Source organism: Homo sapiens, chromosome 18 (assembly GCF_000001405.40).
Source record: "Homo sapiens chromosome 18, GRCh38.p14 Primary Assembly".
Classification (NCBI taxonomy): Eukaryota; Metazoa; Chordata; class Mammalia; order Primates; family Hominidae; genus Homo; species Homo sapiens.
In genome coordinates, this window is record NC_000018.10 from 63,097,331 (window position 1) to 63,122,985 (window position 25,655).

Below are 25,655 nucleotides of genomic sequence, written 5' to 3' on the forward strand. Positions count from 1 at the left end.
TGTCTATGAGGAAAAAAAACGCAGGCTGAGATTTTATGATTTAAAGACTATTATGCTGCTTAAAGAACCCTGCAAGAGTAACAATAGCTGCTATTTATTGGGCGCTTGCTCTATGCCAGGCACTGTTCCCAGCGGCCCCGCCATGACGTCACTCCATCCTTACGACCTAACCCTAACCCACGCTATGGACACTTTTATCATCGCCCCGATTTTAGACATGAGGAAACTGAGACTCTGAGACACTGTGTCCCTTACCCCACAGTCATTCAGAAGAACAACCACCCCAAATGTGGCTAAGCCAGCCAGTCAACAAGAGCGCTAGGATTGTTACCTTCTTCAAAACAATACCTCTCAGCAAAGCCATCAAATGTCAACCAACACACCAAGGAAGGTCCTTGCAGATGGAACACAGGGAAACTGTTATCTCACAGGAGTGGTACCAGCACGTAAGGGAGTCAAGCGCAGCAAATTCTAAGGTGCAGAGAAATGGACCACTGTCAATTTCCAGGAACTCATTTCACTCCTGTCTTTTCACATTAATGTTTCTCCTTTCCAGGAAAGCCAAGGAAAAGACTTTTCATCCAACTGGCTTAGGAGGCAAGACAGAAACCTTTTCCGCATAAGATCCTATCACAGCTGGGCAAATTCTGTACCTAAATCTTTGGAGATGAGTGGCCTCTCGGTGTTTTCATTATTTATAATTAATTGTTCATTTATCAGACTTTGTGGAGTGTCTCAATGGGCAGCGAGGTGTGAGGCACAGGGAGTATGTGGTAAAGCCCTCAAGCCCTCTGCCTTCACGCAGCATCCATTTGGGGGGATGCACCCCCAACCCAAGGCGGGGGTGTGTGCTGTGGTGTCACAGGAAGTGCTGCCTTTCTCGAATGGGGCTGTGTTTACACAGGGCCAGGAGAACTAGATGCTGAATTGGGGTCAGGCTTCAGGAGTCCTGGCTTTTGGGACCACTTTGACACTTCCTGTCTTCACAGCCGTCATCCTATTTCAGGATTCTTATCCCCAAAACAGGAATATTAACACAGCTCCGCCTGTCTCTGCAGGTCATCAAGAGCAAGCACCTAGTGAGTGTGAAAGCATCTTCAGTGTGGGAGTTGCTGTATAGATGCAGAGTTTTACTACTGAAAGGAGGAATACTACTGTTGATTTGTTTTTGTTTCTCGGTTGTTGTGCGTGTGTTTTGTTGTTGTTGTTGTTGTTTTACCATCTTGGTCCTAAGTAGCTCGTTTGCCGGCCCAGCCTTAATGGCCAGTTGGCTCCAAGTCAGAAGACATGATCTCCTCCCCCATTCTCCATGCCATTGTTTAAAGCCCCTCCTGAGGAATGGGCTGCCTTGGTGTTTTGTCAGTTCAAACCACATCCTGCCTGTTTCCACTTTCCATAAGACAACTCGCAACACCGGTGGTTTTCAGATGTGGCCGGCTTCTTGGTGAAGCGATAGCAGAGGCCTTGTTCACAGAAGTGAAAATAATTCACCCAGTGGTTAGCACATCAGGTGTGGGCATTGAGTGTACCCCGCTCCCTGCTTGATCCCAATCCCTGGTTGGGTTTGGGAGTGGACGGCTGCCCAACCTCCTGGCACTGTCTTGACCCACAGCCTTCTCTGGGATGAGGACTAAGCCAGAAGCAGTAAGGACAGAGGTGTCTCAGGCTGTCCAGGCCTGGCCTGAATCCCATGACAGCAAGGGTGTGGCCTGCAGAAGCTGGAAACGACCACGGTGGCCTTCTAGTAACTTTACAGATGAGGAAACTGAGTCCAGAGAGGGCTGGTCAGTTGCAGGCAGAGCCTGGACTGGCACCTGGGTCTCTGGGCTCCAGGCTCAAGTTCATTCTAAGCAGACCAGTTGTACCCATCGCTGTAATTGAAAGACTTGTTGGCATCAACAGAACTAGTAACTGGGTTTGGTCCTGGTGACCAAGGGGCACATCTCCCAGCTGGAAGCTGTTTGCTAAGAGCAAGGTTACGGCCCGCACTGGGCTACCAAACAACAGAGCAAGCCCACGCTCAGGGCATCAGCAAGCAGGGTTATGAAATAAAACAAACATTTGAAAGAATTCGACACTTGAAGAAGAAAAAGAGGAGGTGAAGGAGGGCAGAAGGAAAGTCGGAAGCAGCAGCAGCAGCCAGTCATCATGAGAAAATCAGAGCTTTGTGGGATTTTAAAACTTGTGGTTTGGAAACGTTTTTATTATTTAGATGCATGAGGGCAGACACCACCATCTTTTAAATGTTCACAGGAGGCCAAAGTATGCAAGAGCCACGGCCTAAAGCAGGGCTGTGGGCAGAGCCAGACCTGGGCCGTCAGAGTCCAGGGAAGGGCTCAGGACCGGGCTGTGCAGCGTGTCCCGAGTGTATCACCCACAGCCCCACGATGTGCAGTGGGCAGACCAGGCCAGCAGACACATGGCCCTCTATCTCTACTTCCTTCTGGGAGGGTCTGGGAGGCTAAGGTAGCCCTGACCATAGAAAACATGGATTTTCCAAGACGTCTTCCCTGGAGACTTCTGCTCTTGAACAATGCTTATCTATCACAAGGTTGAGGGCTCTCCTTATCTTTCAAGAGTATGAGGTGGCCTGTAAATGCTTCACTTATTAACTCAGCTCTGATTCTCCCTGGGAGGCCAAGGGCTGAGTGAAACTCTAACGTGGGCATGTGGACAGCTTGTGGTGCCCTGTAGCTCTGCACCATGGGCCTGCAGGTGCACAGCCAGTCCCATGGCCTCCAGAGGAGCAGCGCAAACCCTTAGCCTGGGTGGGGAAGGAGCACAGCGCCAACAGAACTACTGCTGGAGTGGGCCCCTGTCTATCACCAGCACCTGGAAGTGCCCCATCCCAGGCCTGTCCCAGCCCGGCATCTGAGCTAATTACAGCTCCGTTGTGGGGAGAGTCAGCCGTGTCAGTTTAACTGACAGCCCAGATAAGAGGTACTGGGCAGAGTCTCACAGGTTGCACAACAAACCACTCTGCCAACTGAGGGCAGAGGCAAGTCTTTTTCAGTCCCTATGGTCAGAAACGAATTTCCTGGATGGCTGTCTTCTCCACCTCCTCTCCATCTCTTATTTTTAGTTTTCAGGTTGGTCTGAATTAGGTTTTGGCTTTTTGGGGGTGGGGTGGGGGGAGGATGATGGGTGATTTTTTCTTTCACTCATTTAAGCATCAGCCTCGTATCTGGCATCTGGCCTGTGCCTTCCTTTCATGGTTCAAGATGTGCCCAGGGCTGTCGTATGTCATTGGCCAGGGTTGGGAGCCCATAACGCCAAGGCCACCAGCTCCACTGTGATGAGCAGATGAGCTTGGCCATGTGGCAAACAGTGAATTTAGTGCTGCAGCATGTTCAGCGGATTCATGAAGTCTTCTGCTCATTCAAGAAGGGATGTTCTCCCTGACAGCTGCATCCCCAAACTCACACCAAACAGCTTGCCAGTCAGGTGCCCCCACCCCCGTGCTATGAAGCTCTCCCCATAGAAGATCAATCAGCCTTCCTCTCCTGTGGGCTCCACCTGCACCCCTCGCTCCAACACCATCTGCCCACACCGTCCTGTGTAGTTGCTGTCCATTTATTCCATCTCCATTATAGTGTCTGTCTGAACAGCAAATATGAGGCTTCACAGAAGCATTGAAGATCTAAAAAGCATTTGTAACTGACTGTAAGCGAATTCAGCATGAGGCCTCAGGTGGCATACGAGCCTCTGGCACTTTCGTCTTACCCACACTTGAGACACTGTAGATCTCAAGGCAACATCAGGACCATCCAGGGCAGGTGGCAACAATTTTCTTTTAAAATTCCAAGGTAGCTTAAGCCAAGCCTGTAAGTGGATTGATAGGCCTCAGGTTCAAGACCAGAGAAAAAGAATAGGAGAGAAAAGTGACCCTCAAATGGCCAAGAAAAAGAAGGCAGGAGAGAAAAGAGGGAGGGCCACCCACGGTTTGCACAGGTGCCATCTCCAGAGCCATGGGGTGCTGCACCTGAGGCTGCAGCTCCTGGGCACAGCGGACCCGACCCTCCTGAACCAGGGGACCAGCAGCACAGGCAGCCGATGTGTGGCTCTCTCCAAGCTCTGAGCTTGGGGGCACTGAGTGGAGGGGAATATCCAGTTCGGAGGACCTGACGCTTCTGGCTCTCTGCTCCTCCAGGCTCAGCTGTTGAGTGCAGACACAGGCTCTGGGAGGCCAAGGACTTCATGACTGGGCTCACTCCCAGCAGGGCAAGTGGGGTCCTGGGGCCTGAGCCCCTGGCTATCTGCCACTGCTCTCTCAGACACCACGAAGGAGGCTCCGCAAAACACCATGTCCCTAACAAAACGGGATTTGACCGATTCTGTTGCACATTCAAGGTGTTAAAGCTCCAACCTGAATAAAGGCTGTGCAACTACATAATGCTGTAAACAGAGCCTCTGTGGAGCGCGTGCGTGTGTGAGCTTAGCTCCGAGCCCACATTCTCCTAGAGTGGTGGAGGGTCTCATCCCACCTCCCAGTCCCTCCTGGGCCCGCCCCCAGGAGCTAACCAGCGTCCGGAATGGCCTGGCTTTGGGTCTTCGCCGTGGCTATAGCCTCTCTACCTGGACCATCTGATTCCTGTTCTGAGCTGAGCCTCCAGCCCTAGGGTGTAGGGAGGCGGAGCTCACCCTCTTTTCCCTCCCCGTGAAGCCGCCTTCCTGTGCGCTAATGTTTTACCCTGGCTGAATTTAAACAGATGTGGTCAAGGATGGCGGGTCCCCAACGTGACCTCCCTGGCTCTGCTATGCATGCCTAATCCCCGTCCCCCAATCGATCACTCCCCGGACTCTCCCCTTCTCCCCTCTCCTATGCGACCACCAGTTGCTCACCAATAATTCGAAACTGCCTTTTTGACAGAGAAAATGAGTGTCAGCTGTTTGCCTACCACGCCTGATTCTAAGAATTAAAGTGAACAAAAAGTTAAGAGAGTGAATGTTGATCACAACAGAGTTCACTGGTAATGAAATGAGATTCCTGGAAACGTACTCTTCACCCTGGAGCTGGTTAAGAAGGAGATAGAGACCATCCTGGCTAACATGGTGAAACCCCGTCTCTACTAAAAATACAAAAAAATCAGCCGGGCGTGGTGGCGGGCGCCTGTAGTCCCAGCTACTCAGGAGGTTGAGGCGGGAGAACGGCCTGAACCCGGGAGGCGGAGCTTGGAGTGAGCCGAGATCGCACCTCTGCACTCCAGCCTGGGTGACAGAGCGAGACTCCGTCTCAAAAAGGAAGAATAAGAAAACACAGGCCAGGCACGGTGGCTCACGCCTGTAATCCCAGCACTTTGGGAGGCTGAGGCCGGCGGATCACTTGAGGTCAGGAGTTCGATGAAACCCCGTCTCTATTAAAAATACAAAAATTAGCCAGGAGTGGTGACGAACGCCTGTAATCCCAGCTACTCAGGAGGTTGAGGCACGAGAATTGCTTGAACCCAGGATGCGGAGGTTGCAATGAGCTGAGATGGTGCCACTGCACTCCAGACTGGGCGACAGAGCAAGACTCTGTCTCCAAAAAAGAAAAAAAAAGAAAAAGAAAAAGAAAAGAAATATTTTTCCTGGTCTGCTTCTCCATCCCCCATCATGGCTCTGACGGTCCCAGGTCACTGGTGGGAGCTTTCCCAACTGGGCCTGCCTGGGAATCCACAGCCTCTTGTCACTTGCTGTGAGCGAGTAGATGAACACCTGCTGAGTAAGAAGCTCCTCCTGGGATGTGGAGGTGGAGGCAGGGAATCCTCTCCTTGCAAATTAGCTCAGCCATAATGAAGAGGCGCTGATGGACCGATAGGAATTCACACCCTTCTTTATTCGGCATTCCAATGTGAAGTTGTCCACACTAGGACAAGAGGTTGAAAGGAGGATGATGTCACAGATTGAAATGGAAACTTGGTGGGAGACATGTGATGTGTGTGGTATGATATGTGTGTGGTGTGTGTGTATGCTGTGATGTGTGGTGTGTGTGTGATGTGTGGTGTGGTGTGATGTGTGGTGTGTGTGCAGGTGTGTAGTGTGGTTTGTGGTGTGATGTGTGGTGTGGTGTGTGTGTGGTGTGATGTGTGTTGTGCATGTGGTGTGATGTGTGGTTTGGTGTGTGTGTGGTGTGTGCATGTGTGTGTATAGTGTGGTGTGGTGTATAATATGGGTGTGGTGTGGTGTATAATATGGGTGTGGTGTGGTGTAGTGTGATATGTGGTGTGTTGTGTTGTGGCACATTGTGGTGTTTGTGGTTTGTTGTGGTTTGCTCTGTGTGTTGTGTGTGTGTGGGGGTGTGTATGGGTGTGGTGTGGTGTTTTGTGGTGTGGTCTGTGTGTGTGGTGGCGTGGTGTGTGTGATACGCGTGGTGTGGTGTCACATGTGTGTGGTGTTGTGTGTGGTGCTTTGTGATTTGGTCTGTGTGTGTGTGGTGTGTGCATGTGATGTGTGTATGGTGTGTGGGGTATGGTATGTTGTGTGTGTGGTGTGGAGTGTGTGTGTATAGTGTGTTGTGTGTGTATGGTGTGTGGTGTGGTGTGATTTTGTGTGTGGTGGGTGTGGTGTGGTATGTGTGTGTATGGTGTGTTGTGCTGTGGTGTGATGTGTGTGTGGTGTGATGTGGTATGGGGTGGGTGTGTGTGTGGTGTGTGGAGTTGTGTGTGGGGATGTATGTGTGTGTGTGTGTGTGTGTGTGTGTGTGTGTGTGGCGGGGGTGTATGTGGCGTGTGCATGTGCTGGAAAAGACAGGATTTCCGACATGAAGACCGGGGAAGCCTCTGGCTGCTGTGCCCCATCCTCAGCTGGGGGCAGCCCTCTCTGCTGCAGGGTGGAGGGAGGTAGGCGAGGATGCCGAGGCTCAGCTTCAAAAGGGGAGGACTCCCTGGAGTTGCGGAAGCCTTTAGTAGGGGGGAAGTAGGTGGAATGCGGGGGTCACTCCTTGCTTTCCGGAAACCCCAGTGTCCCCTGGGGTGGGGTTTCTGGAAACTTTCCCCTGGCCGTTTTCTCTCCATGCGCCTCTCCTGCTGCTCTCTCCTCTCCGCAGCTGTCGGGGAGCAGGCTGGGTACTTATTTCAGTCCCCTGTACCTGGCTCCTACAGCTAAGGGCCCTTCCAGAACAGGTTTTTCCCAAAGTCCCAGAGAAAGTGCTCACCAAGTGCGTGTTGATGATGAACCCCGAAATCAACGTGTGGATTTTCCTTCTGGTATTTGGGATTTTTTTTAAAAAAAGAGCACACCTTTGAGTTTTTCTCTCTTCTCTATAATATGCCACACGGCGAGGTTTCAAAGGTTATAGCAAATTGAGAACGAAAAAGGTTTTGAAGGAGCCAAGAGGAAAAGACTCCAGGTTCATCCTAATGTGAATATACAAGCAGGCCTCGTCTCATCTGTATAGAGCACAGGTCTATGGGACCACGCAGAGTGAGGGGATGAGACTCCTGCACTCAAGACTTTGCAGTCCTATTGGGGACCAGGTGGAAAACGTTATGGAACATGTGGAAACAGAGGAAAACCAAACCCATGCCTGCAGGAGAAGTGCAGGCTAGGGGATCTCTGCGCCGGGATTTTCGGGGAAGGATTCATGGGGGCGGTGGGAACGAGGGGGCCCCAGAGGATGAGTAAGGCCTACGTAGGGGGAAGGAGGGGAAGAAATCCTCGAAGCTGGTATGAGTGTGAGTGTATCTGAAGCGGGGTTTGCTGGGGATGTTTGGCTCTGAATGAGAGGGATGACCACTTGTTGAGCTTCCCATGTGCCCGGCCCCGCAGTGACATGTGTTAGCTCGCCTCATGCTTACCACAGCCCTGAGTCAGGTCTCATTATGTTCATTTTGCAGATGATAAAACCAAGGTTCAGAGAGGCTTGAGTCATGCGGTCCAGAAGGAAAAGCAATGGGACTCAAATTCATGTTGGCCTCCAAAGCCCCTGCTCTCAGTCCTACCTCTCAGGACCGGCCTGGGGGAAGACGGGAGTGTGGTGTTGAGTGGAAAAAATATGGCTGCCCAGAGAGGGTGAAGGGTCAATATGGGAGACACAAGACGGAGCAGAAAATCCTAGCCTTATCTCAGGAGGACGTAGAGAGTCATGGTAGTTCTTTGCTTATGGGAGGGATGTGGAGAAACGGGTGTTTAGAACAAATGAGTTGGTCTGGGTTTCCTGGAAGATGCCAGAGGGCAGGGAGACCACCCAGGAGTGGGCAACATGGCCCTGGCTCAAGGTGGAGGATGGCAGGAGAGGAGAGAATGGAGCAGACAGACATCTGCCCAAGTGTTCCATGGTACATTAGTCAGTGTCCCATAAAAAAGAAGGCCTATGGGTGGTCAAATTTGGAGTGTTCTGGGTTGAACAGAGTAACAGAGTAATAGAGTCATTGCTCTATTGTGGAACTTCTTTTTTTAAGATGGAGTTTCACTCTTGTTGCCCAGGCCGGAGTGCAATGGTGTGATCTCGGCTCACTGCCAGCCCCCCCTCTCAGGTTCAAGAGATTCTCCTGCTTCAGCCTCCCGAGTAGCTGGGGCTACAGGCGTGCGCCACCACACTCAGCTAATTTTTGTGTATTTTTAGTAGAGACGGAGTTTCACTATGTTGGCCAGGCTGGTCTCGAACTCCTGACCTCAAGCAATCTGCCTGCCTGCCTTGGCCTCCCAAAGGGCTGGGATTACAGGCGTAAGCCACCATGCCCGGCCTACTGTGGAACTTCTCATAACCTTTGATATGCTGATATGACTGCAGAGGGAAATGTAATCTGCAGTGTTTCTCAGACTCATTTGACCATGAAACCCAGTTTCTGCCAAGCACCTCCTGCAGCTGGCGTTCCACAGAACACTCTGAGAAATATTGTGGCGCCTGGTCGCCCTTACGTCATGGGTAATGTGGATGATACGCTAAGTTGGAACTTTGGGTGCAGAGCCCAGGCTCTTGTTTCACTGACCTACTGAGTTTTCTTGCTTGTTTTGTTTTCTGAACCTTGCTTTAACCTTCCCTAGCAACTGGGATCTCTTCCCCAGAGTGTGCTGCTGAGGGGATCTTGGGACAACGCACTTGCTCTCATTGTGCCAGGCCTGCAGGCGGGAGTGGACTCACCTTGCCAATGGCCCTTCTCTATCCTTGCTGAGGACCATGATGGGCTTATCCTGCTTGGCAGCTCTGGCCAGGCCTGGAAGACCTACACTCACATATGAGTAGTTACAACTCAGCCATCCTCTGTCTGAAGAACATTCTGCCCCAGGGAAGACATCAACAGGGATGTCAGAACAGCCTGGGGGTCATGGCCAGATCACAGTAAAAATGGCAATACGACTGGCTTGCTACAGAAGAGAATTCAGAATAAGAAGTTCTCTCGGACTCCATCCAGAGGGTGTTGCAAAGAAACCAAAAGAACCACCTTAGAAGGTCTCACTGGTGGGGCAGTTTTGAGCCCTCAGGGACTTCTAGATGGTAAGAGTGAAGAGTGTTTAGGAAGAAAGACTTGTCTGTCGGCGTAGCTACTAGCTACATGCATGTCTCCACTGAGGACACAAGGACCAGGCTCTAGAGACAATTCAGCCGATTGGGAGTCTAGAGACCAGAACTTCTAACATCAGCCCAGACACCAATGGGCTGGCTGACCTCAGGGCAAATCATTTTATGTGGTTTCCTCCTTTGGAAAAAAAAAAGAGAGAGAGAGATATATATATAAAATCTGATCTACCTCTTAGAGGTTCAGGGTGGTTTCTGTTTTGCTTTTTGTGAGGAGCAACTCATAAAAATGATACCAAACTCCTCTGAAAATAAATACAGGCTCTATGCATTTCTAACAATAATAGCAAGTATTCTCATTGGGATTGTGGCTCAATTTACCATGATAAAATCACTGGTAAATTTCTAAAAAGTTACCTCTTTGTGCACATACCTTCTCTTAGAAAATGGTTTTCTGTTAGAGGAAAATTAAAGGACACTCGGAGTTACTCATTTGGGAGTTTATGTTTTTCCTTTCCCCCATTGAATAGCTCTCTGGGGAGGTTTCCATTTTGGTCATATTTCAGAAATGACTGAACGTCAGATTCTGCACTCTCACTTACTGAGAACGAATTTAGAAAAAATAGTGAGATTAGCAGATAAGTAAACAAACATTAATTGAGGCTCAAATTGTAGAAGTACTTCGGGCAGTATGGAATTACATGTTTCCATATTCTTTGTTAGTCTGCATGAAACCAAAACCCAGAAGGTTATATTAAACATAATCACCTAACTCCATGGGGCCCTGGGAGGAATTTTTAATGTGGCAATTGAAAGGCGTGTGATTGTGCAAAACACAATGGCACAAATGAGTGTTCCTGTTGCTTTCGTTTCTTTCAGAAGGGAATTAGCTCTGGGGGAGCACAGAAGAGTACCAAATTTCAGACCTCCCTCCCACCCCAAAGAGGAGAAACACCCTGTTGGACCTCACTGATCCCCTAGGAAGGTGGATATGAGTCCTATCTGGAATGAGGTCTTAATACAGGTTTTATGTTGTGAGAACCTGGCCCCTGGCTCCCAGGAGTGCTTCTAAGTTAAAAACTTCATTGCATTCATTTTTTTTGTTGGTATTTAATACATATTTCATAGACTCCCATCTTAAAAGCTTTCTGATTGATTGGCGGCAGAGAGCCAGCTCCCTTATCTAACAGGACTAAGTCCCCGCTTTCTCCGTAGTGGCCAAGTCATCGGTGTCTGCAGTTAGACTGAGAACATCCAAAAAGGCCGAACAGAAGGTGGAAGAGGCTGCTCTGTTATTTCTCGTCTGATGTCATGCCCTTAGTTAGTTGCACCTGATAAGTATTCACCCAGTTCCTCATCCTTTCTCCTTTGGAGCCTAAGTGGTCTTGCGGGTGTGTGGTTTACTGGGTACTGTGGCCTTCCCTTCTGCATCCAGCTGCCAGTGGCTGAGAGGTCCTTTTAGCAGAGGAGTAGCTCTCCGCAGTAGGATAACTATAGACCTGGATCCCAAGGCCTTCCTGCTCAGCCCTGGGGTATTCACCTCTACCTCTCCATTGTATTTACATCAACGAGGAACCCCTTGGACCTGTCCTGTCCAATACATAACCACTAGCCACATGTGGCTATTTAAATTTAGATTAAGTTAAATTAAATTAATTTTTTTCTCAGTCATTTCAGTCACATTTCAAGTGCTCAATAGCCGCCCTGTGGCAGGTGGCTACTGTATCAGACAGTGAAGGTGCAGAATACTGCTGTCATTGCGGAAGGTCTATTGGAAGGTGCTGCTTCAGAGATCACCCAGCCAATGCCTTGATTTTTCTAGAATAAGAAACGGAGACCCATAAAGTTTAAATGACTTTTCCAAGAATATCCAGGAACGTATAATAATATGTTTCCTGGCCATTTTGGAATTCTTATCAGAGGAAGATGTTCTTTATTTAAGTCTTGATTTTTGAAAGAAATATTCCCCTTCAGATATAATTTGATTTTTACAAGTAAGATAATGTAATATAACAATGGTCTTGAACTATGAAAACACTGGATACATTTTGGAGAGGCTCACCGTGATATATTCAATACTATCGAAATGATTTTCTTATCTTTAGTGGCCAGTGAAATTTCACAAGAGAGAAGTCTAGATTAGTTTTTGGAGACCAAGAAACATTGGTGTATTTATTCCTTACCTGGGAGTGTGCTATTAATACGATTATGCTCCTGAAGACTCTTGGAAACCTGAGATCAGTTATATGAGAAAACCAAAGGGCCAGCTGTGCCCTGGAGTCATAGGAATCATTATTATAACGTCCACAGTCTGTCGGCATCATTGGTCAGACACAGGGTGAGAGGACAGTAATACAGGCTCACCACGACACGTGTGTCTTTAACATACTTCATAAACACTTAGCCTCCCTTACAGCCAAGACAGACAATAAATGTCTCTCTCACTCAACTGTGTCCAGGATTTACACAGTGCCTCATGCAAGGTCTCACTGCAGGCCAGAATTCACAGAGGGTGGGAGGGCTGAAGACTTGCTCCATTGCAGAAATCAACACAAAGAGCCATTGAGTGTTAAAGATGGGGGAATTCAGCACTTGAGGACTCAAAAAAGGTCCTCCTGTAGAAGGGGCCCAAAAAGTTCCTCTGAGAGTCGCCTTTCTTGCTAGACTTCTTTGTATACAATTTGTCGCTATGGAGAGAGATCAAAGGGAATTCTAGGCAATTGTTTTTAGTTACTAACTCAATGAAATTGATCTGCAATTATTCTAACAGGTAACTGAACCATGGTACAGAGAGAACATAAAATAAAGAATCTGGGCTTGCTGTGGTCTTTATTAATTTCTTCTTTATTATGAATACCTCTGCTATGTTCTTCTAAGCCCCCACCCTACCATATGCGATAAGAAAATATAAAAGAGAGCAGCATAGTGTCTACCATTGGCACAATGGGTTGTGTTTCTCTGACTTTGGGGCCTCGACTTGTTGGAGAAGACATCATGAAATGCTTGTGTCCCCCAAGGATGTGAGTTTATTGAGCAGACCCTCGAAACTGGGGCAGCAGTAGAAGCTCTGGTGAGCGTTTGGGGTAAATTTTATGATAGGAGGCTAGCATGCCAGAATAGGAAACCAACTTGTAAGGATGCAGAGGGCAAGACACTAGGTCCAGACGGGTCAGAGAGCACCAATCAAATGACACACATCTGGGTGAGTCAAATTCAGAGCCCAGAAGGTCAGAAAATTAGCAAACTCAACACTGGTATGCTGCTCTCTTTTGTAATTCTACCCCATATGAGTAAGCAAGGGCTCCTTGAATTTTCTGACAGTCAAGAGGGAGGATTAAGGAAGGACAGATGATGGGGTCTTCATAGTGGTTCCAAGAGTATCTTCCACCTATCGGGATGGGCCTTTCTCCCACTTGGGACTCAGCCTGGAGATGTGCATGCAGCTTCCTTGATGGGGCTGCTGGTTCACAGCACCCTAACCATTCAGGGGCTGGTAAATTTCCCTTTCTTGGGAATAATTCTTGGTCCCACAAGGTATTCTTCCTTACTCTTGACCTATTTTGAGGAGGAAATGGGGACAGGAACGATTATACAGCAGGTATTATCCCTGTATACTTTGGGAATAGAGCTAGGGAAGAATTTTGAGAGATTCAGAGTGGCGGTGAGGGCAAGATGAAATGAAACTGGAGAAAATTGCTGAGCTGTGGCTGTGTAATTGGAGGAGGCTAATCCTTGCAGAGAGGCACTTCTGGGCACCAGAACTTCTCTTCTGCAGATGACCATCTCCCTGAAGGCTGGCGCTTCTGGTTCAAGATGGCATGGATGGCTGGGAGCTGCCTGCACCAGCTGGTGGTGGTGGTGGGGACCCACAGGCCTGGGTGATATGGTCTGGCTGTGCCCCCACCCAAATCTCATCTTGAATTATAATCCCCACATGTTACAGGAGGGACCCAGTGGGAGGTAACTGAATCATGGGAGTGGTTTCCCCCATGCTTTTCTCGTGATAGTGAGTTCTCTTGAAATCTGATGGTTTTATAATCATCTGGCATTACTCCTGTGGGCGCTCATTCTCTCTCCTGCCACCCTGTGAAGAGGTGCCTTCTGCCATGATTGTAAGTTTCCTGAGGCCTCCCCAGCCATGTGGAACTCTGAGTCAATTAAATCTTCTTTCTTTATAAATTAGCAGCATTAATTTAGACAGACTAATACACTGAGGAAGAGTAGGGTGAAGGTTAGACTTTACATACATAGTACCATGCTGAGTTTGGTTTCAAGGGCCAAACTGGTGAACTCAGAAAGGGAAGCCTGATGTAGTTGGAAAAGTCAAACCTCAGCTCCACTACTACTAGCTATGAGGCTTTGTGAAAATAAATTAACCACTCTGAACCTCAGCCTCTTTATCTGTGGTGGTAGGCTGAATAATGACTCCTCCAAAGATGTCCACATCCAAATGTTCTGAAACTTGTGAATATGTAAACTTACATGGTAAAATTGACTTTGCAGTTGTGATTTAGTTAAGGATCTTGAGATGGGGGCAGAATTTTGGATTGTCTGGGTGGGCCCAACCTAACCCTAGAGTTGTTGTAAGAGAGAGGCAGATCAGAGTGAGAGTGAGGAAAGCAAAGGCTGGAGTGATGGGAGGAAGGGTCACCACCTACGGAATGTTGGGGGGCCTCTAGAAGCTGGAAAAGGCAAGGATACAATTCTCCCCTAGGGCCTCCAGAAGGGAGGCAGCTCTGTCTACAACTTGATTTTAGCCCAGTGAGACCTATAAAATGCAAAATAAAGGTACTCATCTCATAAGGCTGTTGCCACAGATTAAAGGAGACAATGTATCTGAAGCACTTAGCATAGTGTCTGCCACACACTAGGTGCTGGGTAAAAGGTAGATTATTTTATGCTTTTTTTTTAGAAATTATACGATCCGAGCCAGGGTTGGATTCCATCTGACTTAAAGCCCAACCACTACATTATAGTTAAAACAACTTGTAGTGGTTGGAAGTGGATGCAGTTCTTCCAAAGAATCCGTGGTAAAACATTTTAGGATTGCTGGAACTCAAGGAGATGCTTCCAAATTCTTTATCTCAGAAAACTTTTGGGACCCCAGCATCCCCTTTGGATAACCTGTTGCATCATCAGGCCTCCAGACATGAGGCTGAATTCCTGCATCTGAGTTCTGCACATCTTGGTGGTTTTTGCAGGATTGCATGTGCTCTTGAAGCACTGTCTCATATAATGTGGCAATGGAGACAAAAAAATGTCACCAAGGTGTGGCTATGGAGTGGGAGAGGAGGACTTAGAGGATGTCATTAGCAAATTGCTGGGTGGCTGCCAGGGTGTTGCAGAAGTCTGGTGACTTCATTTGATAATTTGCTGATCATTCAAGTTTATTCCTTTCTAGGTTCCTGTCATCCTCACTGGCTTTGTTTTGCAGCTGAGAGACTGAATATACAAATGGGCAATGGCCAGACCAGATATAAAAATAGAATTCAGACCCACAGTCTACAGCAGCCAGCCCAGGAAACCAGCTCATGACCTACTGTTACCGGCCCAGGAAACAGGTCTGCTATAAATCAGACTTGCAGGAAGTCAGATCACTGTCTGTAGAAACAACCCATGAAGCCAGACAATAACCTCTGTACAATTGCCCCCAAATGGCCAGGAGTTAATTAATAATGGACTGCTTCCTTGATTTTCTTCCCTGATTCCAATTTAGGACCAACCAGAGAAAGCCAATATGCACCTCTAATTATTCATGTAGGATGTCCTGCTTCTAATTAGCCCACCTCCATGTAGGCGCCCCCACCCTATGCCAACAACCTCCCATCAGGGTGAGCTCAAAGCCTTCCCTCTTTGCCATTTTAAAGCTTTCCCACTTATCTGTTTGCCTTTGATTCTCTGCCAAAATGCAAAAGATAGTGAGTGGCCGACTCCCTTAGTATATATAGCAAGCTCTGAATAAATAGCCTTTGCTTTTCTCATTTGGTTGGTCTGCATTTATTTCCACATGCCGTACAACTAGCACATGTGAATTTGGAGGTAAGGACACGTTCTACACTCTTGGACCCAGACAAATTTGGTCTCACGTGATTGGATCAGAGGGACAACACTTGTGGTCTCATGAAGCGCCAAGGCCTTCTTGGTTCCTGTCTTTGTGGCGTGTGGATGACTTCTCTAGGAGCAGGAGATGACTGTGATGGAATAGTGACTAAGTTCTATTTGAACTTGAATTAGTTATGGCACAAATGGGTGGAACATAAAAGAAGTAATTAGTAAAGGCAAATGGGAAAAGCCCAAAATTGGAATTTTGTTTTTAAATAACACTTGGGAGAGAACAAATTAGGAATGAAGACAACCTATTTCCCCATTCCCTGGCACACAGATCTCATTTTAAATAAAACAATAAGGAGGTAAGTTTTAAGTGGTGTCATAGGGAATGTTAGAAGCTAATGTTACTAATCTAAAAACTATCACTGCAAGGAAATATCCAGGTGGTTATGGGGCAGAGATATTGCAGGAAGTCTCTGCAGATATCTCAAATTGTTGGTCTTTGAAAAAAAGGTCCACATGTGATGCTCTCTGCAGTGTCATTGTCAAGATCATAACTAAGTTTATTGTAAGCCATTATCAAGATGCATTCTCATGTTGTGTACCTGGCTCCAAGGACCACAGTTGATTATTATCTTGGGGGACGTTTATTATTCCCTCTCTGTCTTTGTAAATAAAAATGACAAGTCAAAGTTTGGTAGTAGTTGAGAAAATTGTTGACGTGTAATTACAGGAATTTGCTTCTTTGGTTCAGTTTGTTACTTTGAATCTTTACACTGTCTGCGTAGCTATTGTGGATTTATTATTTTCTGTAGCTGCACAGAAAATAATGTTTTAATGGTTTTTCATAATAAATAATATTATTTTCCATTTTATGTGGCATGAAAACTCTTTCACATTCATCACTTTGATCTCCCTGACTCCACTACCCCGTATGAGGCTGGTAGAATATGGTGGGACAAGTGTCACAACCCATTGAACTGATGATCAAAGATGCAAAGAGGCCACATGTTTTGCCCAAAGTCGTGCACTTAGCAAGCCAGAATTCAAACCCTGACCTGATATCAAGAGTTTACTGCCTGTCAAGAGGACTTGCAATCCTTCCACTGGACACATTTCAGATTTAGTTTCCCCTTTGAACTGATAACAACTGTTTCAAAAGTAAGAACCTTTTTGGATTAAGCTTGAAAAAGGAGAATTGAGGGAGTTGGAGAAGATGTTTTCCTGTTTTAACAACTTAATTAACAAGTATGGGGTGAGGTGGGGAGCAGCGGGGGCCTGAAGAGGAAGTCGTTTTGCAGACACATCACTTGTGCATGAGATGTCAAATATCTGTACACAGGGTCTGGTCCGGTGCTATGGTCCAGCATGGTGGCCACCAGCCACATGTGGCTCTTGAGCACTTGAAATGTGGCTCACTCACACTGAGATATGCTGCCACTGTCAATTCCACATTGACTTCAAAGCCTTAGTATGAAAAAAAAAAAATAGCCTATTGTGGTGTTATGATAGGTACTGGTTTTCCTCCGTGGTTCCTGGCTTGTGACTCGCATAGCCTTTGTTACCATCTTTTATTATGATGTTGGGTGTGTTAAGTCTCTGACCTACTTCTGCCCCTTTTCACCTGCCCCAGGGCAGGACTCTACTGCTTTTCTGATTGAGGTTCTTTTCTTTTTTTCAGGCTTAATTCACTTTATTTTTCTTGTATAAAAACCCTATGTTGTAGCCACAGCTGGAGCCTAGGTCCACTGCACAGAGACTCCGTGCAGCTGATTGAGGTCCTTAAGACCTTCCTATGAGTGGTTCCTACCCTGTGCCCTGGGGAAAGGAATGCTGACATCATGAAGCTTCCATAAAAACCCAGCGGACAGGGTTCAAGGAGCCTCCAGACAGCTGAACATGCTGAGGTTCCTGGAGGGTGGCACCGAGGGAGGGCGTAGAAGCTCCACACCCTGTCCCCCATTCCTCATCCCACGTGTCTCTTCATCTGTATCCTTTGCAATATCTTTTACCATAAACCGGTAAACATAAGTAAGTACTTCCCTGAGTTCTGTGAGCTGCTCCAGCAAATTCACTGAAGCCAAAGAGGGGGCTCTGGGGACCCCAACTTGAAGCTTGTTGGTCAGCAGTTCCAAAGGCCTGGACTTCTGACTGGTGTGGTCGGAGGCAGTCTTGGGGACTGAGCCCTCAACCTGTGGGATCTGACAAGGTCTCCAGGTAGACAGTGTTGGAACTGAATTAGAGGACAGCCAGCTAGTGTTCCCTGCTTGGTGTGTGGGGAAAAATACCCATACATTAGGTCACAGAAGTCTTCTGTGTTGATGATTGTTGTGGTATGATGGTAGAGGAAAGACACAGTTTGAGAGTTTTCCCTACATGCCTATCTCAAAATTTTTGTATTATATGTTAACATGATAAATTGGGTTAAATAAAATATATTTAACAATTAATTTCATGGGTTTATTGAAAAAATTTTTAAATGTGGCTACTAACAAATTAAAAATTACATACGCCGGCCAGGTACAGTGGCTCATGCCTGTAATCCTAGCACTTCGGGAAGCTGAGGCAGGCAGATTGCGAGTTCAGGGGTTCAAGACCACCCTGGGTAACATGGTGAAACCCTGTCTCTACTAAATGTACAAAAACTACCCTAGCATGGTGGCATGCACCGGTAGTCCTAGCTACTTGGGAGGCTGAGGCAGGAGAATTGCTTGATCCCAGGAGGCGGAGGTTGCAGTGAGCCGAGATCGTGCCACTGCACTCCAGCCTGGGTGGCAGAGAGAGACTCCGTCTGACAAAAAAAAAAAAAAAATTACATATGTGGCTCACACCTGTGGCTCACATTTAATTTCTGTTGGGTAGTGCTGTTCCCGAGGTTTACCCTTTGTATATGACAGTCACTTTGTAGGTGAGGGTGAGGCCAGGAGTCCAGCTGTGGCTCAAATAGGACAGAGACACTTGCAGTAGAGGGTGGAAAGAAAGACCGCTGGTCCACCCTGCTTTCCCCTGGGAATGGGATTCTTGTTATGCAAGAACATTAAAGAAGAGGCAAGAGCTCCATGTGGCATTTTCAGTGGAAGCATATTCACTTCTGAAACCTAGTTTCTCTCCTAAACTCCACCCAAGGCAAAATGGATTATTGCTTCCTGGAAATCGAACCAGGGGACTTTAAAGTGTTTCATATTAAAAACAGAAAAGCCCAAGAAGGAGAAAAATAATTACATTTCTAAAAGCTCTTAGAACAAATGCTTGCTTGTGAGAAATAACTTTTCTATAAATATTTTATTCCTCTTTTTTCCTCTTTTTGTTCTCCAGCTGAGAGGTTCCACATGGATATAGGAGATGATGTTCCCCTTGGGAGAGAGGATCAAAGCTCCCCTGAGCTGCTTGCTGCTGAGTTTTACTCATAATAATCTTTGTGGCTTCTACCCCAACCTGCCTGCAGGGCTCTGAGATGGAGTAAGCTCAAAACTGTGGAAAAACAAAGAATACGGAGAAAAATCCATTGCTCCTTAGCATCCAAGCTGGTGTTCCAAACAGAAAGATCCAAGGCTTGGCTGCAGAGAGAGAGAGAGAGAGAGAGAGAAATGTTTATGGTTTACCTGTGGGAACCCAGCCTGGGTCTTAATAATTTATAAAGCCTGGAGCCCACCTCACCACCCTCTGCATGAAGCTCAACACATATTTGTCAAATGGCTGGATCCATTCATCAACCCACAAAATGAGCACTGTGTGAGCTGAGGTGCCTACGGTGTTGAACCTGGAAACCTGAGGAAATGATGATACCAGCAAGAGGAAGGGGAAGCTGAGGAAGGACCTAGTCTTGGGAGTAGGTTGTAAATTTGATTTGGCCCATGAATGGCCTTAGATAATATGATAGTCAAGATCCAGTGTCCGTGGACAGCAGGTGGCTGAAAAAAGAGGACTTAAGGTTGACTTTGATGATCAGCAGCATAGAGTCAGTTCTCGCCTAGGGAAACATGATCATATTTGGAGTTTTAAAGAGATGTTGCTATGTGAAATATGTCCAAATGGAGGAACTAGGATGGTGTAGGGCTGAGATTGTGGCTAGAACATTTGGCTTCATAGAGCAATGCCTATAAGGATATATTTTGCTGTCATTGCATTTGATCACCTCACATGCAACAAGAGTAGACTTGTCCTGTGTCACTGCTGATGGATAATTCTCCATGGATCTCTCATGTTTCTGTCTATGTTGTAAGTAAGGTGCTGATTGCTCTGTTCTGGACTCTTTTCAAAAACACGTATATAGCGAACAGCCTTGGAACACAGAGATAATATCTCTTTCCAGAACAAAAGGCAGACATGCTTACTGCCTAATACAGAAGATTCAAGCTCCCTAAATTCAGACTTCTCCTATATTATGACTCATTGTGTCTGTCATATCCACATTTTCCTGAGAGAATTGGGGCTTGGGGACCCCACTTAAATATGCTGATAACTCTGGCAACTGCAATTACTGAGTAATCTGACCCCAGGAGTGTTACGTTTTCAACCAGCATCCATAAAATTGTGGCCGACCGACTTGATAACTTGCAAGTAGGGAAAAACTCAGGCCTTTCAGAGTTTTTGACAGTCACCCTCTGAGATTCTTGTTGTGGGGTCCATGGAGGAGCTGTAGGAGACTCTGAAAGGAGTCTGTAATTAAAGTCAAGTCACCTGCTATAGGCAGTGAGAGAAAAGAACAGGGCCTGATTGCTTTGGGGCTATGGCTTTCATTGTGGATGTGGGCTGAGATAGCTGTGATTCAGGATACAGACAGACAGACAGAAAAAACTAATGACAAGTATGGTAAGGTGGGCAATGAGCTACCATTTTTTAATGCAAAATAACAAAAAGGAATTTTTGCATATGTTTGCAACAAAAAGAATACAAACAGGCACAGATATTTACAGATGATATAGAGAAAGAAGAAGACTTGGCTCTTTCTTTTGCCTTTATTCAGCAAATTATGAAGTGCAAAAAGATAAAAAGAAGAAATTATAGTCTGTGTTTGATGGAGAGCTATTTGGAGAACAGCACAGGGCTCTATTTTTGGCCTTGACCTGTTTTGTAATTTTATCAAAGACTTAGACAAAGGTGTAGAAGACTGTCTTATCAGATCTGTAGACGACACAAATTTGGAGGGCTAGATAATGAGACACAGGTAAGAATTGAGACTCAGAATGTTCACATGGCTTGGCATGGAGGGCAGAGACCAAGAAAATGAAATTTTACAGAGGTGTCAAGACTTGAGTTTGTGCTAAAAGAAATCAATTGTGTAAATTTTCACAGGCATCCTAGTGGTTCATGAAAAAAAAAAAAGAGCTGGGGTTAATGTCAATCTCAATGTAACAGACAACAATACAGAACACTGGGTAAAACATGAATGTGGCTCTGATCCCTGTCACTAAGATGTGGCTTCCAGGCTAGGAAGGGAGTAGCCCCAAAGCACTTGGGACAGGACAGTTGCTGACCAGGGAATGATATTCATTTGGTGTCATCTTCTAAAGGGATGTCGAAAAATTAAGTGCATTCAAATGGGGGCAACTAGGATAATGAAGGCTTGTAAATGGCTGGGACATTCAGCGTGAAGGAGCAAAACCCATTGAGACATATTTTACTGTCTTTGCATTTGCTGTTTTGACAGCTTCAGGTGTTTGTGAACCTCCTGTTGAAGATGATGGCATCACAAAATAGAAAGAGGTTGGGTTCCTCAGTCACTTCCTGGATAAGAGGTTCTCAGGAAGAGTTTCCCAACCTACATTAGATTATGGCATGAGCGTACATCTCTTTGTCGAGGTACTTATATTTGGAGGTTTATTTGTTATTGCAGCCTAATTTAGCCTACCTTAACTAATGTACCTCTCTTAGCCTCATTTTCTACATCTGGACAATGGGGATAATCACATCTACTTCATGAAATTCCTGTGAGATTCAAGTAAGATGATGACACAATAATCATAATAGAAGGCTTCCTACTTCCTTAGACATCCTTCTCTTTTAAAATTTTTATTTATTTATTTATTTTTGTAGAGATATGGTCTAACTATGTTTCCCAGACTGGTCTCAAACTCCTGAGCTCAATTGATCCTCCCTCCTTGGCCCCCCAAAGTGCTGGGGTTACAGGCATGAGCCAACACACCCAGCCCTCTTTTTGTGCTGGTTCCTTTGTGAAAGTTCTGCTGTTGGAAGTGCTCTAGGACCCTACCCTCACCTACTGTCTCCTTCCCCAGGAAATGTCACACAAATCCATGTCTATATACTATCCATATGCTGATGACTGATTGAAGTTCTGTATCGAGATTGAGACCCCTACTATCTATTCAAGAGGAGACTTAGACATGAGTCTGGCACTCAGGAGAGATACAGGATGGAGTTATCAACTGACAAGAGTTTTCTCTTGATTCTCCTCCACTAGATCTGATCCTCACTCACCTCACTTTCTCAATCCTTTTCTAATTCAATAAATGACACCACTATCCACTCAGTTGTTTGGGCAAAAATCCCAGCAGTCATGTTTGAACTCACCAGGGCAGATGGCCCATGCTTTGCTAAGGAAGGTCCCTTGAGAGTGGTGTTAGTAACCAGAGAGACATATGTAGCAAAGTAGAGAAGCTAATCAACTTTAAACATTAAAAAATAGCACCCAAAATTAAATAGGGGGAGAGGGGTAAAAAATGTAAATTTGGGGAGTAAAAGAAACAATGTCAAATTTCTGTTACAAGAAAACTTGTTTCTGTGTTTTCCATGTAGATGGTGTTTGAGTGTTAAATCATTGAGGGACTTAGATTCCCATTGTATACATTTACAGTTTGTATACATTTGCATACAGTTGAATAGTTTTTTGTGTATGTATCTCTTCCAAAAAGAATTGCTGAATGGCCAAATTGGCCCAGAAATGGTCCTGTCTGGCAAATCCTCCGTTCTTAGTATGAGGTTGCCAGGGACCTGAGATGCCGTCCTCCACTTGGTGGCAGTGTGTGGTGGGACACCAAAAAAGGGTGACTAAATCCATTGCCTTCTCCACATTCTTCCAGTAAATGTGGGATTGTAGAGGGTTTTGAGGGTAGAGTCCTGGAGCACTTCAACAGCAGAACTTTCACAAAGGAACCAGCACAAAAACAAAGAGGGCTGAGCGCAGTGGCTCATGCCTATGTTGATAGGAATCACAACCAGATTTGTTTTATATCACTTTAAAAATGTATACAATGGAAGCTAAGTACCACAATGGTTTGATAATTGAAAACTATCTACATAAAACATACAGAAACAAGTTCTTTTTTAACACTTGGAAATTTGGCACTTTCTCTCCTCAAATTCACATTTTCACCCCCATTTTTTCCCAGATGAGATTCCTTAATGTTAACATTTAAAATTGATTAGCTTTTCATACTTTTCTACAGCCAAGATTAAGCTTATGCATTTAAATGCATTTTAGTGACCTTAAGGCTTTACTTTTTGTTCCCAGATTGAGTAATTATTACAACTATTATTTTTATCCAATTACTTGTTTCCTTGGTGCTGACAGAAAGATTAATTTAAATAAAATACTCCGCTGGGTAGTATCTGCTTTTCAGTTTCCAATAAAGTCCAGAGGAGTGCCTGGAGGGGCCTTCCGGGAAGGGGTCTTCTGATGAATCAGCCGATGTGCCACCCCAACTTGACAGAAGGCCCCCTTGTCAGCAGTTTGAAAGACATATACCACGCTTGCCCATGTATGACGGTTCATTTTTAAAATTTAAATGTCAATAGTTGCTAAGGATATAATTTCCAATGCACTCTTTAATAGCATAAGAAAGAAAATTGTTCCCAAACTGTCTGTGGCAGAACTTTTTTGTATGATGTCATTTGTAACCCCTTCCATGAAGTAATTATGATTCCTGATAAAATGCTTGGGTAATTTCCGGATAGACTTTAATGGGATTAAGAACTGCTGAGAAGTCAGGGTCTCCACTCAGCTCTCTAAACCACGCCAACCAGTCTCGAGCTGTTCTTCTGTTGTGGTGCCATTTCTTTTTTCTGTTTGTGTCTCTTCCAAAAAAGAATCACTGAATTGGCTGGCTTGCTGGGAGCCTCTTCTCTTGAGGCCAGTCTGAAATAGAATTCTGACACAGGCTAATAACAAGTTTGTCTGACAAGTTATTTTAAGAATTCACATTTTAAAAATAAATTTGTTACATCATTTTCAAACGATATCCATTGGAATCGAAATACCATACTGGCATGATACTCAATACCCTACATGAAAAATATAGGAGTTACTTTTTGACACTTGGACATTTTACATTTCTTTTTCTTCTCCTCAAATTCATAATTCTGCCTCTCATTTTATCCTAATATAATATTTCTTACAACTAAATTTACAACTTACAATTTCTTAAAATTGATTTACCTCAGGATCATCTATGGCAAATCTGTAAATTTTTGTGGCCATAAGGTTTTTTGTGTTCCTGAGTTGAGTATACAATTACTATTACCCAACTCATAAAAATGCACAAATATATTACAGTTTTGACAAATAATTATTAAGTATAAAATTTAAATTTTATTGGAAATAAATCTCTTAAAAGAGATGGGACTAGTTTATTCCCTCTCTCCTCCATCCCCAGAAAGACACATAACCATAAATAAAAACTACATAATGCTAGAGGGAACTAGTGTTCACCAGTGAGTCTATTCTTGTTTTTTATCTTTACGGATATAAGCTCTGAGGAGGGCTGTTCATGTAACAACTACATGAGATTGGAAAGAGTTTTGTTATAGCAACGTTATTCAACTATTTGAATTTCTGGTATATTCAAAAGTCACATTAAAAAATCTATCGGCTGTCTTCACTAGAAACTCTTTCAACTTTGTTGAAAGCAAAGAATTGGAAAACCAGTTTCCAAAAAGATTTGCTCCCCAGTCATTACAGTCCAATATAGCTCCAGGATTTCAAATCATGCCTTTCAGTAACCCAAGAATTCTAACACTCCAGGGCCATGCCCAGTGGTGTGTAGGTAAATTTACTCTCTGGGGAAAAAAGAAAAAGGCAAAGAAAAGAAAGCCCTGCTTTATAGCTTTTGTTCGTTTACATGGTATAAAGGCTTCCACCACAGCCAATTTTTTTTTCTTTTTCTTTCTTTTTTTTTTTTTTTTTTTAATGTTCATGTTTTGCTCTGTCACCCAGGCTGGAGTACAATGGTGTGATCTCAGCTCACTGCAACCTCCACCTATTGGGTTCAAGCAATTCTCCTGCCTCAGCCTCCCGAGTAGCTGGGATTACAGGTGCCCGCCACCACACCCTGCTAGTTTTTGTATTTTTAGTAGAGATGGCGTTTCACCACGTTGGCCAGGCTGGTCTCAAACTCTTGACCTCATGATCCGCTGGCCTCGGCCTCCCAAAGTGCTGGGATTACAGGCGTGAGCCACCGCACCCGGCCACCAAGGCCAATTACAAGCCACTAACCTGACCTCACTGACACACGCTTGGGATGACAGGCACACAGTCAGCTCTCCGGGCCAGTATGAGACACTCAGTACCGCAGGGCATCACAGTTAGATTCAGACAGAGGGAGGAGTGTGTCCCTCTTCTGAGAAGTGTGACAGATGATTGTGAAAGGGGAGAGTGAGGAGAGTTGTCTGAACTCAGGGGTGTGCTCACGGAAATCGGTTTATGAAGGAGTACCCATGGGTGTTGAGAACATTGATTCTTCTAAACATCCCATGCCTGGGTACTCCTTGGGAAGGCTGTGCCACCATGGTTCCAAGTGCAGCAATTTGGAGGCTACCGATTCAAAGGATGGAGTATGGACCTTGGAGTCAGCCACACCAGGGCTCAAATACTGCCTCTGTAATTTATGATTATTGAGAACTTGGGCATATAGTTTCAACGTCTTGAGTCTCAGTTATCTCCTACAAAATACAAGAGGCCAATACCTACCTTGAAAGGTTTGAGAGCAAAAGGTAGTATGCATACAGTGTTGTATCCAGCAGGTGCTCAACAGATGAATGCTACTATCAGAGTCCTTTTAATTGAGTCTAAGTGATGTGACTTGAAGGGTTGAGGATTAGGGTATCAGGACCTGAACCCAGTGGGAAACATCAGATCCCTTGCCATTTAGGGTTCACCTGCTCCAAAGCAAGTAGCTGCTTTGGTTCCATCTAAAAATGTTGACTTCAAAACAGA

At 45.5% G+C, this 25,655-nt stretch overlaps 7 annotated features.

The window, feature by feature from the left end:
- Positions 1,428-1,557: an enhancer, noted in NCBI's record as "active region_13440". NCBI's record gives its function as "activates an Ori minimal core promoter by ATAC-STARR-seq in GM12878 lymphoblastoid cells {active_cell/tissue: GM12878}" and the evidence as "EXISTENCE:reporter gene assay evidence [ECO:0000049][PMID:35858748]".
- Positions 1,588-1,657: an enhancer, noted in NCBI's record as "active region_13441". NCBI's record gives its function as "activates an Ori minimal core promoter by ATAC-STARR-seq in GM12878 lymphoblastoid cells {active_cell/tissue: GM12878}" and the evidence as "EXISTENCE:reporter gene assay evidence [ECO:0000049][PMID:35858748]".
- Positions 1,688-1,747: an enhancer, noted in NCBI's record as "active region_13442". NCBI's record gives its function as "activates an Ori minimal core promoter by ATAC-STARR-seq in GM12878 lymphoblastoid cells {active_cell/tissue: GM12878}" and the evidence as "EXISTENCE:reporter gene assay evidence [ECO:0000049][PMID:35858748]".
- Positions 9,240-9,369: an enhancer, noted in NCBI's record as "active region_13443". NCBI's record gives its function as "activates an Ori minimal core promoter by ATAC-STARR-seq in GM12878 lymphoblastoid cells {active_cell/tissue: GM12878}" and the evidence as "EXISTENCE:reporter gene assay evidence [ECO:0000049][PMID:35858748]".
- Positions 9,580-9,649: an enhancer, noted in NCBI's record as "active region_13444". NCBI's record gives its function as "activates an Ori minimal core promoter by ATAC-STARR-seq in GM12878 lymphoblastoid cells {active_cell/tissue: GM12878}" and the evidence as "EXISTENCE:reporter gene assay evidence [ECO:0000049][PMID:35858748]".
- Positions 9,670-9,719: an enhancer, noted in NCBI's record as "active region_13445". NCBI's record gives its function as "activates an Ori minimal core promoter by ATAC-STARR-seq in GM12878 lymphoblastoid cells {active_cell/tissue: GM12878}" and the evidence as "EXISTENCE:reporter gene assay evidence [ECO:0000049][PMID:35858748]".
- Positions 9,760-9,809: an enhancer, noted in NCBI's record as "active region_13446". NCBI's record gives its function as "activates an Ori minimal core promoter by ATAC-STARR-seq in GM12878 lymphoblastoid cells {active_cell/tissue: GM12878}" and the evidence as "EXISTENCE:reporter gene assay evidence [ECO:0000049][PMID:35858748]".